General features: G+C 38.4%; 1 long non-coding RNA gene across 1 annotated transcript in view, besides 2 other annotated features; it reads left to right on the top strand.

Annotated features, from left to right (window-relative positions):
* Positions 1-285: 285 nt before the first annotated feature.
* Positions 286-15,531, top strand: part of LOC107984580 (uncharacterized) — a 29,934-nt gene continuing 14,688 nt past the window's right edge. Inside the window, exon 1 of the long non-coding RNA XR_001749845.1 lies at positions 286-1,734. This is a non-coding gene — a long non-coding RNA (uncharacterized LOC107984580). The remainder of the gene's footprint in view (positions 1,735-15,531) is intronic.
* Positions 7,965-8,594: an enhancer, noted in NCBI's record as "OCT4-NANOG hESC enhancer chr13:39903548-39904177 (GRCh37/hg19 assembly coordinates)". NCBI's record gives its function as "activates a minimal SCP1, AML or CMV promoter by ChIP-STARR-seq in primed H9 embryonic stem cells {active_cell/tissue: H9 hESC(primed)}" and the evidence as "EXISTENCE:reporter gene assay evidence [ECO:0000049][PMID:30033119]".
* Positions 8,595-9,225: an enhancer, noted in NCBI's record as "OCT4-NANOG hESC enhancer chr13:39902917-39903547 (GRCh37/hg19 assembly coordinates)". NCBI's record gives its function as "activates a minimal SCP1, AML or CMV promoter by ChIP-STARR-seq in primed H9 embryonic stem cells {active_cell/tissue: H9 hESC(primed)}" and the evidence as "EXISTENCE:reporter gene assay evidence [ECO:0000049][PMID:30033119]".

Raw genomic sequence — 15,531 nt, 5'->3', positions numbered from 1 at the left:
GCTTAAGCTAAGTTTGTTTAAAAACATTGTACAGCTGTACAGAAATCCTTCCTTTATATTCTTATTCTGTAGCTTTTTTCTATTGAAGTTTTTTTGTTTTGTGTTGTTTTTTTACTTGTTAATCTTTTAAAAGAACTAAAACACAAACACACACATTAGCCTAGCTTGCACGTGGTGAGGATCATCAATATCACTGTCTTCCACCTCCACATCTTGTCCCACTGAAAGGTCTTCAGGAGCATTAACATGCATGGAGCTGTCATCTCCTATGATAACAATGCCTTCTTCTGGATACCTCCTGAAGCAGTCGCTTGAGGCTGTTTTACAGTTAACTTTTTCTTTAAGAAGTAGAAGGACTATATTCTAAAATAGCAATAAAAAGTAGAGTATAGTAAATACATATACCAGAAAGGGTCATTTATCATCATCAAGTATTATGTATCGTACATAATTGTGCTATACATTTTTTGTTTTGTTTTTGTCTTTTTGCTTTATTATTATCTTTAATTAACACACAATCATACATGTTTGTGGAGTGCAGAGTAATATTTCAGTAGATGTACACAATGTATGATGATAAAATCTAGATAATTAGCGTATTCATCACCTCAAACATTTATCATTTATTTGTGTTGGGAACATTCAAAAATCTGCTCTTCCAGCTATTTGAAAATATACAATGAAATGTTAATGATAGTCACCCTAGAGTGCTACCATATCTGCTATACTTTTATATAACTGGCAATGCAGTAGATTTGTTTACCCCAGCATCACCACAAACACATGAATAATGCATTGCACTATGATGTTACAATGGCTATGACATCACTAAGTGATAGGAATTTTTTAGCTTCATTATAATCTTATGGGAACCACTGTTGTATGTGTGATCTATTGTTGACTGAAATGTCTTTTTACAGCATATGACCACATAGATAATGGATATAAGTGATACTGGTGAATATGAAGACAACAGGAAGGAATTAATGCAGGAGAAGAAATCTTAGAGAACAACATCATTGAAAGGATAGACCATTAAAAGGATCTTTGTTGAAGGAGCAATCAGAGATGTCAGAGGAAATTTTTTAAAAGGTGTTGTCATAGACACCAATGGAAGAGAAGAGAATTTCAAGAGGAAGAGAGTTCTAAGTAGTGTTTGTGGAAAATGTTTCCAGGGAGCCAAGTTGCACTTATTTGATTTGGTAACTAGAGGGTTAATAATGCCCTCAGGAAAGAGTGGTTTTAGTAGAGTGGTGGGGTGTTAATGACATTAGTAAGGGTAAAAGAGTGAATAAGGGATAAAGAAGAACAGAGAATTATAGAATAATCTTTCGAGAACCTTAGCTGTGAAGGGAAGGAAAAAGATGAAATTCATTCTGCATTTTCGTTAATAGCAAAAATAGCCTCTGAGTAAAAACCATTTTTGCAATCCTTGGTGACCAGAGTGAATTTGCCAGATCAACAAATGTTCGTACACCCTTCTTTGATTCTCATAAAATGGAGTGGGTAACTCCAGACAGCCTTCATGGAGATAAGACCACTAGATTGTTACCAGGTTCCAGCAAGCCCACAGGACCGAGAAGAAACTGCCTTCACCTCAACAGCAATTGTTGAGGAAACTGAATTGGACTATTTCTCCACTGCAAGGCAAGACGATACCATGAACTGGATCACTGCACTAATAGGTCGATGAGAAAATGACTTTTTCCTGGAGAAATACATCTCTTGTAAAAGGTGAACAATATTCTCATAATCCAGATCATCTTTAGTTCTGTATTTTCAGTGCCTATCCTAGTTTCATGTAATCAAGTGGTGGTTAAAGTAAATATTTACATGTGAAAATAAATTATTAGCATAGTGAAAAACAAGATTTTTTTAATATGAACAGGAGCAAGGAGAGAGCTTAGTGTTGTGAGGCCATCTGTGACCACGTAAGCTTAATTACTTCCACGAGCAATTGAATCTGGAAATCCTTCTGCTCATGTATGCTTCCTGAACAACTTTCAGAATTGCCACTCCTCTGGGAAATGGGGAGGAATGGTTGTTTGTCCTATTCAGAAGCTTATACTGTACCTTCTATATATGATTGCCCGAGATGTTTACATTGGCTCACCTAGAACTCTGTTATATGGCTTCTGATATCCTTGTATGTTTCTTTTAGTTATTTATTTCTTTACAAGTGTTTACTTATCACATTTTATGCATCAAATACTGTGATAGAATCTACCACTGACATATTTTGCCTTTTACTATGGCCTTTAAATGTTTCTACTCATCTAAATTCTTTAAAACAAATACTCTTTGTTACAATTATTTAAGCATATTATAGATCATAATGCCAATAATAATTTTTTAAAATAAATGTTTAACTTATAGCACAACAGAAATAGCCTTCATTACGAGGGACATTTTTGTAAAAGGCTGTTTTTCTGTACTTAATGAATTTTTATTTGCTTGACATGAGTTATTAAGTCATTAGTTTTCAACCCACTTTACTGACAAACAGCAGGTCTTTAAGGAAACCTTGAGATTAAGGATACAGCTAAGCTAGGGAGATGGATAGTTCAGGGCTAGTTATCAGCAATGAACTTAGTCTGCTGTTTGGCTGAAAGTTTGTGAATACACCAGTGATTAAAAACTTTAGACTCCCAGTGCCCAAGTTTGAATCTTGATCTTGATTCCATCATGCCCTAGTTGTGTAAACTTGGCCACGTTTCTTTTTCTTTTTTTATTTTTCTTGAGACAGAGTCTTGCTCTGTCAACCAGGCTGCAGTGCAGCAGCATGATCTCTGCTCACTGCAACCTCCACCTCCCAGGTTCAAGCGATTCTCCTGCCTCAGCCTCCCGAGTAGCTGGGATTACAGGTGAGTGCAACCATGCCTGGCTAAGTTTTGTATTTTTAGTAGACATGAAGTTTCACCATGTTGGCCAGGCTGGTCTCGAACTCCTGACCTCAGGTGATCCACCCGCCTCGGCCTTCCAAAGTGCTGGGATTACAGGCGTGAGCCACTGCGCCCAGCCTGAGCACATTTCTTAACCTTAGTTTGTTCATTTGTAAAATCTGAACAATAATTTTTCTTAATAAAGTTTTATGAGGATAAAACAAGATAATCCATGGAGAACGCTTTGTAGTTGTCAGTACATGGTAAGCACTCAATGATGTTAACTTTTGTTAACATCATTAATTTTTTGGTTCCTTTCACTCTGGGGCCCAGAATTTTGACTAATGGTAGAGGAAGGCTTACACACTCTATGTATACATCTGTAACAACCAAGAGGAGTAAAAGAACTCCAGACTTTTTTTTTTTCTTTTACACTTTAAGTTCTGGGATACATGTGCAGCACGTGCAGGTTTCTTACATAGGTATACATGTGCCACGGTGATTTGCTGCACCCGTCAACCTGTCATCTAGGTTTTTTTTGTTTTTGTTTTTGTTTTGAGATGGAGTCTTGCTCTGTCACCCAGGCTGGAATGCAGTGGCGTGATCTTGGCTCACTGCAACCTCCACTTCCCGGGTTCAAGCGATGTTCCTGCCTCAGCCACCCGAGTAGCTGGGACTACAGGTGCCCACCACCACGCCCAGCTAATTTTTGTATTTATAGTAGAGACAGGGTTTCACCATATTGGCCAGGCTGGACTCAAACTCCTGACACTGTGATCCACCCTCCTCGGCCTCCCAAAGTGCTGGGATCACAAGCATGAGCCACTGCACCCAGCCTGTGATCTAGGATTTAAGCCCTGCATGCATTAGGTATTTGTGCTAATGCTCTCCTTCCCCTTGCCCTAACTCCCCTGACAGGCCCTGGTGTGTGACGTTCCCCTCCCTGTGTCCATGTGTTCTCACTGTTCAACTCCCATTTATGAGTGAGGACGTGCGGTGTTTGGTTTTCCTGTATTAGTCTGCTGAGAATGATGGTTTCCAGTTTCATCCATGTCCCTGCAAAGGACATGAGCTCATTCTTTTTTATGGCTGCATAATATTCCATGGTATATATGTGCCACATTTTCTTTATCCAGTCTATCATTGATGGACACTTGGGTTGGTTCCAAGTCTTTGCTATTGTAAACAGTGCTGCAATAAACATACGTGTGCATGTGTCTTTATAGTAGAATGATTTATAATCCTTTGGGTATATACTCAGTAATGGGATTGCTGGGTCAAATGATATTTCTGGTTCTAGATCCTTGAGGAATTGCTGCACTGTCTTCCACAATGGTTGAACTAATCTACACTCCCACCAACAGTGTAAAAGCCTTCCTATTTCTCCATATCCTCTCCAGCATCTGTTGTTTCCTGACTTTTTAATGATCACCATTCTAACTGGCATGAGGTGGTATCTCATTGTGGTTTTGATTTGCATTTCTCTAATGACCAGTGATGATGAGCTTTCTTTCATATGTTTGTTGGCTGCATAAATGTCTTCTTTTGAGAAGTGTCTGTTCATATCCTTTGCCCACATTTTGATGGGGTTGTTTGTTCTTTTCTTGTAAATGTGTTTAAGTTCCTTGTAGATTCTGGATATTAGACCTTTGTAAGATGGGTAGATTGAAAAAATTTTCTCCCATTCTGTAGGCTGCCTGTTCACTCTGATGATAGTTTATTTTGCTGTGCAGAAGCTCTTTAGTTTAATTAGATCCCATTTGTCAATTTTGGCTTTCGTTGCCATTGCTTTTGGTGTTTTAGTCATGAAGTCTTTGCCCATGCCTATGTCCTGAATGGCATTGCCTAGGTTTTCTTCTAGGGTTTTCATGGTTTTAGGTTTTATATTTAAGTATTTAATCCATCTTAAGTTAATTTTTGTATAAGGTATAAGGAAGGGGTCTAGTTTCAGTTTTCTGCATATGGCTAGCCAGTTTTCCCAGCACCATTCATTAAATAGGGAATCCTTTCCCCATTGCTTGTTTTTGTCAGGTTTTTCAAAGATCAGATGGTTGTAGATGTGTGGTGTTATTTCTGAGGCCTCTGTTCTGTTCCATTGGTCTATATATCTGTTTTGGTACCGGTACCATGCTGTTTTTGTTATTGTAGCCTTGTAGTATAGTTTGAAGTCAGTTAGTGTGATGCCTCCAGCTTTGTACTTTTTGCTTAGGGTTGTCTTGGCTATACAGGCTCTTTTTTGGTTCCATACAAAATTTAAAGTAGTTTTTTCCAATTCTGTGAAGAAAGTCAATGGTAGCTTGATGGGGATAGCATTGCATCTATAAATTACTTTGGGCAGAATGGCCATTTTCACGATATTGACTCTTCCTATCCATAAGCATGGAATGTTTTTCCATTTGTTTGTGTCCTCTCTTATTTCCTTGAGCAGTGGTTTGTAGTTCTCCTTGAAGAAGTCCTTCACATCCCTTGTAAGTATTCCTAGGTATTTTATTCTCTTTGTAGCAATTGTGAATGGGAGTTCACTCATGTTTTGGCTCTCTGTCTATTATTGGTGTATAGGAATGCTTGTGATTTTTGCACATTGAATTTGTATCCTGAGAATTTGCTGAAGTTGCTTGTCAGCTTAAGGAGATTTTGGGCTGAGATGATGGGGTTTTCTAACTATACAATCATATTATCTGCAAACCGAGACAATTTGACTTTCTGTCTTCCTGTTTGAATACCCTTTATTTATTTCTCTTGCCTGATTGCCCTGGCCAGAATTTCCAATACTATGTTGAATAGGAGTGGTGAGAGAGAGCATCTTTGTCTTGTGCTGGTTTTCAAAGGGAATGTTTCCAGCTTTTGCCCATTCAGTATGATATTGGCTATGGGTTTGTCATAAACAGCTATTATTATTTTGAGATATGTTCCATCAATACCTAGTTTATTGAATGTTTTTAGCATGAAGGGGTGTTGAATTTTATTGAAGGCCTTTTCTGCATCTATTGAGATAATCATGTGGTTTTTGTCATTGGTTCTGTGTATGTGAAGGATTATGTTTATTTGTTTGTGTATGTTGAACAAGCCTTGCATTCCTGTGATGAAGCTGACTTGATCGTTGTGGATAAACTTTTTGATGTGCTGCTGGATTTGGTTTGCCAGTATTTTATTGAAGATTTTTACATCAATGTTCATCAGGAATATTGGCCTGAAATTTTCTTTTTTGTTGTGTCTCTGCTAGGTTTTGGTATCAGGATGATGCTGGCCTCATAAATGAGGGAGGATTCCCTCTTTTTCTATTGTTTAGAATAGTTTCAGAAGGAATGATACCAGCTCTTCTTTGTAGCTCTAGTAGAATTCAGCTGAGAATCTGTCCGGTCCTGCACTTTTTTTAGTTTGTAGGGTATTAATTACTACCTCAATTTCAGAACTTGTTATTGGTCTATTCAGGGATTCAACTTCTTCCTGGCTTAGTCTTGGGAGGGTGTATGTGTCCAGGAATTTATTCATTTCTTCTAGATTTTCTAGTTTATTTGTGTAGAGGTGTTTATAGTATTCCCTGATAGTAGTTTGTATTTCTGTGGGATCAGTGGTGATATCCCCTTTACCATTTTTTATTGCGTCTATTTGATCCTTCTCTCTTTTCTTCTTTATTAGTTTGGCTAGTAGTCTATCTATTTTGTTAATCTTTTCAAAAAACCAGCTCCTGGATTCATTGATTTTTTGAAGGGGTTTTTGGGTCTCTATCTCCTTCAGTTCTGCTCTGATCTTAGTTATTTCTTGTCTTCTGCTAGCTTTTGAATATGTTTGCTCTTGCTTCTCTAGAAGAACTCCAGACTTTATAAAGTATGTAAAAATATTTGTTATAAATACTAAATCAACACTTGACGATAAAAGCTAGACACAAAATACAATTTCTGACCCCTGTCTTCAATTCTTCTGAAGATCTGTTGATCACCCTTTTCCATGGAAGCTAAGGGAATGGTTCCTGCTGGTTTAGTTTATCTTCTCTGTGATCCACATGGCTTTGTCCTGTGAGGTCTGATATGCTTTAGAATGTCTTCTTCCAAAACACAGATCTCTAGTCCTAAGTCTTTATCAGTGTATTTCTCTGCAATGTTTTGCTTTCCTCCAATGGCCCAGAAACATGTGGCTGCAATTTTGCTGCTGCAGCTCGCTGAGATCTCAAGCTGAGCTTTCTGAACCTTTATCTGTGTTCTTCCTGGCACCTGCCTCCTCCCTGTTCTACCCCTTTTCATGATGAGAAGGGAATTTTAAACTATTTTGTCAAGAAGAATAATTTTGGTTTGCACATGCGCCAAGTAATTATGGACAAGGTTTTCACTGAGGCATTTTCAACAATAGTGGAAGTCTGGAAGCAACTCAAATGACCATCGATTGGAAATTCCTTAAATAGATTATGGTACATCCATATGTAGAATATGATACAGCCATGTAAAAGGCAGCTTTTCTGTACTGATATGGAAAGCACTTCAGTGCCTATTATGAGAGAAAAGCAAGATGTGGAAGAATTTATACAGTATGCCAATGCTTCTGATAACATTTTAAAAGACTATACATGTATTTGCTTTCTGCAAATAGCATGTTTCTGGAAAGATAAATAAGAAACAGATGATAATGGTTGCCTCTGGATAAGAGATAGAATGAGAGGGAGACTTATTTTATGTGCCATTTGTATTGTTGAACTTGTGACTATTATTAGCTACTTGAAAATAATACAGAGATAAGGTATAATATATGAAATATATATAACCCAGACATAAGATGATAGATATGCTTATCCTTCAAAATATTTAGTAAATAAGCCCTTCAATTTCACAGCCTATCAGAGTTCAAGGCCAGTCCCCAAATTTCTGCAAATTCCTGGGGTGGGGAGTGCTATTTTCAAAGACTGTCTCAACCACTGCATTCTTATATATCCATATCCTGCCTTTGTTCTTTATCACTTTGACCCCAACATGAAACTTAGCTTTGTATAGAGCACCCTTGACATAAGTAACTCCACATTAGAAAAAAGACTCCATCTTACATTTCAAAAGGCACTCTACCAACCAGGACCAGATGTTTTGCCTGATCAATAAGGACTGCATCCAACCACATAAGGACACAACCAAGCATGCTCCTCCACCATCAGTCCTCATCAGAGGACCCTGTGGCCATAAAAAGCAGGATTTCAGCATCTTGAAATAGCCATGTTAACAGACACCATCTTGCTGTCTTGTGATAAACACCAAGCATCTGCTGCTGAAGACTCTGCCCACATCAAAGGCTCTTTCTTACAAGACCAAGGGACCTTTAGGCCCAGATCAGGATATTCTTTTTGTTCACATCATTCTTCTTGGACTAGTTTGTTTTCTATCCCCTTTCTCTTGATGTTAAATGTTACTTTGTTTGTTGTGGAATGTTTAATTTATATCATTTATGTACTGATGAAGTATACTATTATGTATGGTTTGCAATATTGACTGACTTGTGAGATGGCTTGCGCTTATGTGCCTGTGGCTCTGATTACCTAGTGAACAGGAAGTACTAAGGAGAATTACCTCCTTGGGAACTCTGTGGAGCGCATGGCTTTCATGATTGAAATAGCATCAATAAAAGTCTGACATTGTGGAAAAACACAAACATGCATGGACCTGGTTATCTCTGACCTTACGTCACTCATGATAAGCTTCTTCTCTGGTTTCAAACAAAACAAAACAAAGAAATGAAAAACTCAGTTACAATGCAGCGTCATGAACAACTGTAAATGGAACAGTAGGCAACCTTTCTTCAGTTGCCCTTCCATTGTGATGTTTAAGTAACCCCACCAGCCTGGCATCTCTCCATCGGGCTGCCTCCTCTGTCCTCTTTTCATATTTAAAAAGCAAAACAAAGGAATTTAATCTGCTGCATAGCCATTCTGTGATGTTATTTCACAGCATAAGTATGCCATTGAGCCTACTGCAGTGCAGTCTATCTCAGTTGGCTTATCGATGTGTTTTCCCAAATAAAGCCAACTTATCTGAAAATACATTTTGCTATCAGTTCTTAAAATTATGTAAAATGACACATATTTGCTAGAGTTACAACACCAAAATCATTACTGATGTATGTTGCTCCAATATTCACCCTCTAGATGTTGGCGTTCTTCAGGGCCTTTTCCCTTCTTCCTACATCATTATCTACCTAGACCATCTCATGGTCTCCCGTGGCTTTAGTTATCTCTGCTTACTAAAGCCTCCCACAAGTACTTCTTCAACCCCAGACCTCTTGTATCCAACTACATATGAGTAATATCTTCATTTAGCAAACTCACAAATCTATCAAACCCAATCTGTCCAAAACCAAATTTGTAATCTTTCTCCCAAACCAGCTGTGTCTCCAGTGTTCCTTGTCTCTGTATATTGCACCACCATGTACCAAGTTGCTTATGCTAGAAAACCGACATTCTTGCTTCTGCCCTCTCCCTCAATCCATCCCTTCAGTAGATTCACTTTCCTCCATCTCCACCATTGCTATCTTAATCCAGTTATTGTCAACTAACCTGAGCCAACTTGGCCAATCAATCTCATTTTCAGGTTCATGTTGACAGTATTACTAGCTTAAGACATATGGAGATCGAAGAGAGCTCTAGTATCTTCCTCCACAAGCTTGCCGCCACATGGGATGTTACAATGAAAGCAAGTCTCAGACCAGATGCTGCCACATGGCATTTGCAAGTAAGCACAGAAACTGCCATATAGTCCGTTCCATTTGTTTGTACTTTGGCACTTTGCAAAGTACCCAGCATGAGAAGTTCCACTGAGCAGTTGCAATAGTCTAGCAACGGGATGCAGCTCACCTTCTTATGGATCAGAATTCTCTGTGAAGTGGTGGGACATGGAACCAAGTGGTCTCTAGGCCTATGGTACCACTCCTAAATTTAGAGGCCACTGGGCTTGCCAGATTCTCAGAACACTGTTCATGCAAACGTAGTGGCTGTATAATTCACCAGCATCAATTCATTTATTTTAAATGCTACTCATTGCACTAATGAAATATTCTATCTAGTATTCCTTATACCAATTAACAAATGCTCTGGTGAAGATGTAACAGTGATATTTGAAGTCATTTGTTGTAACTGTCTTGTCTGATGAGGATATATTAAATGTTAAGTAATCTCCAGGGTAGAGATTAAAAAGAATTTACATATATTTGTATGTAATTATACATATAATATTATATGTAATTGTACTCAAAAGGTATATTTTTGAGTACACGTACCTACGTATGTATACATATATATATATACACACACGTATATATATGTGGGTATGTGTAGAATATTATAAATACATATGTTTATAGTATATGATACACATATATACATGTATATATGCATATGTGGGTATGTGTAAAATATACATATATGTATATATATGTGCGCATGTGGGTATGTGTAGACAGACACATATATGTACATTTATATATCACATTTTAAAATTTCATTAAGGACAATATATTCCTTATCTGCAGACTCCTAATTCGTCATCCTGCATCCTGGCTTTCTGTTCTCTAAACCCGTGTTTCACAGTAGTGAAATAATCAATTTTAAAAATCATAAATCTCATTCCTCTGCCTCAATGATTCTCAATTCTCTTTTTCTGACTGGTCCATATGTATCTTACCACCCTGTCTCATGACACTCTCCTCCTTATCTATTGGGCCTGATTACATCATTGTCCTCCTTTTTGTTCCTTCAACTTGCCAAGACATCTTGTGTCTTGTAGTGTTTGCACTTCTGTCCTCCCTTGCATAGAACATCATTCTTCGCCTCTCTTGGCCTATGTAATCCTCTGCATAAGTGAGTTCACAGCTTAAGCCCATTCTTCAAGGAAACATTGCTGACTCCTCCCCAGTTCAGAGGAAGTGAGCTTCCTGGTAGACCCACCTAGGACAAAGTTGCAATTAATTAATTACAGAATTGTCTGTTTTCTCACTTAAGTATTGTCATTACAGGGACAAGTTTCATGTCTCTCTTACTCACTTAGCACTGCCTTTGTCTGGGTGTTTAATAAGTATTTACTGCATGACTGAGTGAATGTAATGGCTATATTGTATCTGAGGAATTTCAGCCACATGCTTACGTTGTGTGTCCTGTTGGAACGTGGGTTTGTTGGTAGTTATGTCTGGGAATATCAATTGGTGTTGGTGTTGACTTTTTAATGATATTTTCTGGAAAATGATATGACACATCAATTCCTCAAACTAGATATACAGAGAATACATACATCTGATGTCCTGTGAAATTTAAATCATAAATCCTTCTTATCTGCTGGCTCCTAGCAGTCTTTCAGAAGGAAAAACAACATTTAGGACAAGAATGAAGACAAACAATCGCATATCATGTCTGGAAGAAGTTTCTTCATCACTTTTTCTCAGGCCCTTCTTAGGAAAGCAAAGCAGGGGTCAAAGGTGACCACAGGAAGACCTTTAAAATGGGACTCAAAGGAATTTTCCCAGCAAACTAGGTTGAAAACTGCCAAGAATTAACTCCATATGGGGAAATCTTACAAAACACAAAATCCATTTGTCTGCTTTGCTCTAGTAAACACAAATTAGAAGTCTATTTGTTTATATTGCGAAGATTGAGCTTCTTTTATGGTATTGTTCCACAATGTCTTGGAGGCAATATGAAACAATTTATGCATTGAACGATTGCCAATAATCTCTCAGGCATTAAAATGATCATATATTTTCTCCCAACTTGTATGGTTTATTTACAAAGCAGATGCTTGGGCCTAACAGAGATTATTATTCAGGAGACAAGGTGTAGGGCCCAGTATTCAGCACTTAAAAAATAAGTTAAGACATTAAAAGATAGAGAAAGACATCAGGAAAATAGACCAAACACATATTAATCCTCTTGGTTCATAGAGACCTGGGTCACTCTTTTTATCTACTGTGGAAAGTTCCATCCTATGACATCCTCTCCACAGGAGAGATCGGTGATGCTGGAGGGTATTTGTGGATCTCCTGCTGAGGAAATGGGACATCTTGAGTTGTAAGTGGAAGTGAATACTGTTACAAGTGAGGGAATAAAAAACAGGTAGATTTTTGTTCCTCCAAGCAGTGGACTGCATTGTTTTTTCAGTACAATTTACTAGCATAGATGTGCCTTCCTTACTTCTTTATTTTAGAAAAAAAAAATCTGAATTTCTATAACAAATAAGTGATGGGTAATAATTAAAATGGCATTCTCTAACACATTTACTAGATAAATGTACTTACAATATTCTGACTCAAAATTTCTTAGGAACACACCCTCTTTCCAAAGAAAGATCCACTTGTAAATCTACTTTCAAATGAAAAGAACAAAATTTTGCTCACTTGGCCATTCTTGAACAGAGCTGCTATTTGAAACATATGACCCATATATTTTGGTATGAAGTCAGGATTTAGAAATGTAATATGTTTTTTGACTTTTTGGTAGAAACCAAGGCTGAGGAGAAGAATGTGAATTGTGACCAGGAGTGGATAGCTTTGAGTTGCCAGATAAATAGGTCTTTATCAATTGTCTTTTGGAACCTGTCAGGAGGGAATTCAGATCTCTTAACTCTCAGACTCCCTAGGACCTCATTTTCTTTGGAGGATTGAGACTTCTCAGAAGAGCAGAACTTTCCAGAGAAACGGGGAGGAGGCTACTAAGAGTCTTTTACAACATAGTTGAATCTGGAGTCTTAGATTGGAACTGAAAAGAAAAGGAAATTGAAAAATTCCAAAAATTTGACCAAAAACCATGAGTGGATGCATTTTCAGGGAGAAAAGGCATGCGTGGCTGCACGTGTGTCTATGTGCCTGCATGTGTGTGTGTGCCTGCATATGTATGTGCATGTATGTTTGCACCTGTATGTGTGTGCCTGCATGAGTGTGTGCCTGCATGTGTGTGCATGTGTGTGTACCTGCATGTCTGTGGGTGCCTGCTTGTGTGTGCTTGCATATGTGTGTGTGCATGTATGTGTGTGTGCATGTGTGTGTGCCTGGATATGTGTGTGTGCAAGTGTGTGTGCATACGTGTGTGTGCATGAACATGGGTGTGTGCATACATGTGTGTACCTGCATGTGTGTGTGCATGTGTGTGCCTTCATATGCACATGCATACGTGTGTGTGCATGCATGTGTGTGTCTGCATGTGTGTGCATCCGTGTGTGTATGCATGTGTGTACATGAGTTTGCATGCACGTGTGCCTGCATGTGTGGGCATGCATGTGTGTGGGCATGTATGTGTACATGCCTGTGTGTGTGCATGCATGTGTGTGTGCATGTGCCTGGCCTGCATGTGTGTGTGCAAGTATATGTGTGCGCCCACACATGCATAAGTGTAGTGATGGGCATAGGCAGTTTAAGGTTAATAAGAGTCAGTATTTTTCAATATTTCCATATTTTCCTCAGTTTTGACATCCAACAGTGACAGAAAGGAATGACAGAAAACGTTTAATTATAAATAGCTGACTCTTGCAAGGGTGGCAATAAAATATATAATAGAATTCTGAGCCAGGCTTCAGAGACCAGAATGGGTGGTGGGAATAGTACGTATAGATTTGATTAATTTGGATAATAGCCCTGTGTGGACGGAGTGAGGGGTGTCTAGTAATTCCCTCTGGGCTATTGGAAATCTTCATTCTCTCTATAACTGATTTTTCTAGAGGCAAAAGTTAAGCCAGACAAATAGGAGAATAAAATTCTGATTTTATTACAACAGTTTGAGTCACAAAGGCAAAATGATTATATAGAGTTCTGAGTGTCTGACATGGGACATTTGTTCTTTCTTCCTAAGCATATGCCAGCTGTTGCCAACGCGTTTTTTCTTCCACGGTTCTGGAGGTGACACCAGAAGAGGCAGGGTATATGCAAGTTTCTCTAGAACATTCATCTTCGACCCACTCCTGCAAGTGGGGCAGGAGTCCCACTTGCTCACTCTCAGGGTCCTGGACAAGATTGCTTTGACCTTTCTTGCTTCATGATTTTGCTTCTTTGGTTCCTTTTTGGATTAAATCATTCTTCCATTGTTGTTTTCTTTTAAACTCTAGCTATGCTTGGAGTTTAAAGCCATAGAACAGTAACAGTATATGTCAGTGTAAAACAGTCTGGATTGGAGACTCATTCCTGCCACTTACTAGCTGGGCAAGTGTTGAAATCATGAAAACTTTGTTTCTTCACCTTTAACTGGAGGTGAAAAGAGTACTTAATGGGAAACTCACATCATAGCACCTAGCAAATAGTGAGTGTTCAATAAATGTATTATTTTTTCACTGTTAATATTTTCACATTTTGAAGTGACTAGTGCTCTGTTATGACTTAAGGAGCCTACAAGAACCATCTTTTTAACATAAAGTGAAGAGTCTGCATCTGACTCCGAATTGGAAATTTGCTTCTTCATCTTTAGATTTCTCTGGCAATAAGCTTCCTTGGAGAACATTTTAAAGTCTATGAAGTGGTCTCTAATTGTATTATCACACACACTGAAGACCTATTTTGTCAGATCATTATGCAATGAAGAACGCTGCACATCTATTCTGTGGACTGATATTTTTAATAACACCTCACAACACTCATCACATTGGATATGGTGTTTACTTTAAATTACATTTCCCAGTTGGGGATGGAACCCTTCAGACTTACATGTATCCAGTCAGGCTCTGGAGGAGGAGATCTGCCAGCAGGAGTAATGAAAGGACACTACTGTGAACACGATTCACTGTGCAGGCATTAGAGAACTAAGCCTTTCATTACTTTGGGAGATAGTATATATGAAAAGCTACGAGTGTTGTTACACTGCCTGAAGTATTCACAAATGTGAAGAAGAAATATTCAGCACAAAGCAAAGGACCCCAGAGCTGGTGTCTAGGATGAGTTCTTTGTTGTTTCCTGAGCTCGGGATCTTAGACATTTCTCTAGAGCCCAATCTTCCCCTCCTCTGCCTCTGCAAGTTGTCAGTAGTCATTCTCAGACACTGGGGGCTGCTTGGGGACATGATTAGGCTCTCAAGGAGCCATTCCCATGAGCTTTTGCTAAAAGTGTCAGGTTGCTGAAGCAGACATTTCCAGGCACTTGATTTCATTTTTCTGCCTCTGGCAAGTGGTTTTGAGCTATTCAGTTAGTAAAGAAAATGGTTGGATTGTTTGGGAAGATACAGCACATAAGAAAACATTGTTTTGACCTAGTTAAGCAAGTGAATAGATTGTTGTATTTTAATGATTGGGGCTATCATTTTTTTTAGGAAAACTGTAATTGTTAATTATAAATGCTTATTTAAAAAAGTATTAGGAGCAACATAGCTTTATGAAACATGCTATATACAATTTCCTTCCTTCTCTCCCTCCTTCTTCCCTTCCTCCTTCTCTCTTCCTTTCTTTCCTTCCTTCTTTTTTCTGTTCTTCCCTTCCTCCTTCCTTCTCTCCCTTCTGCCCTTTATCTTCTCCTCCTTCTCTCCTTTTCTTCCTTCTTTCTTCCATTTTATTTGTAAGTGAGAAAAGCTGTGCTGTATGTGAGAGGCTACACTACAAGCAAAAGGTCTTTGCCCTTAAGAAGCAGTCTAAAGGGAGACAGACATATTAATAAATAGAGCTATAATTACAGAAGTGTGTGCACGGTCCTGGGAGGAACATAGTAGGAAGTGGTCATT

Source organism: Homo sapiens, chromosome 13, assembly GCF_000001405.40.
Source record: "Homo sapiens chromosome 13, GRCh38.p14 Primary Assembly".
Lineage (NCBI taxonomy): Eukaryota > Metazoa > Chordata > Mammalia > Primates > Hominidae > Homo > Homo sapiens.
Note: the sequence above shows the minus strand (reverse complement) of the source record. Positions and strands in the feature narration are given on the sequence as shown.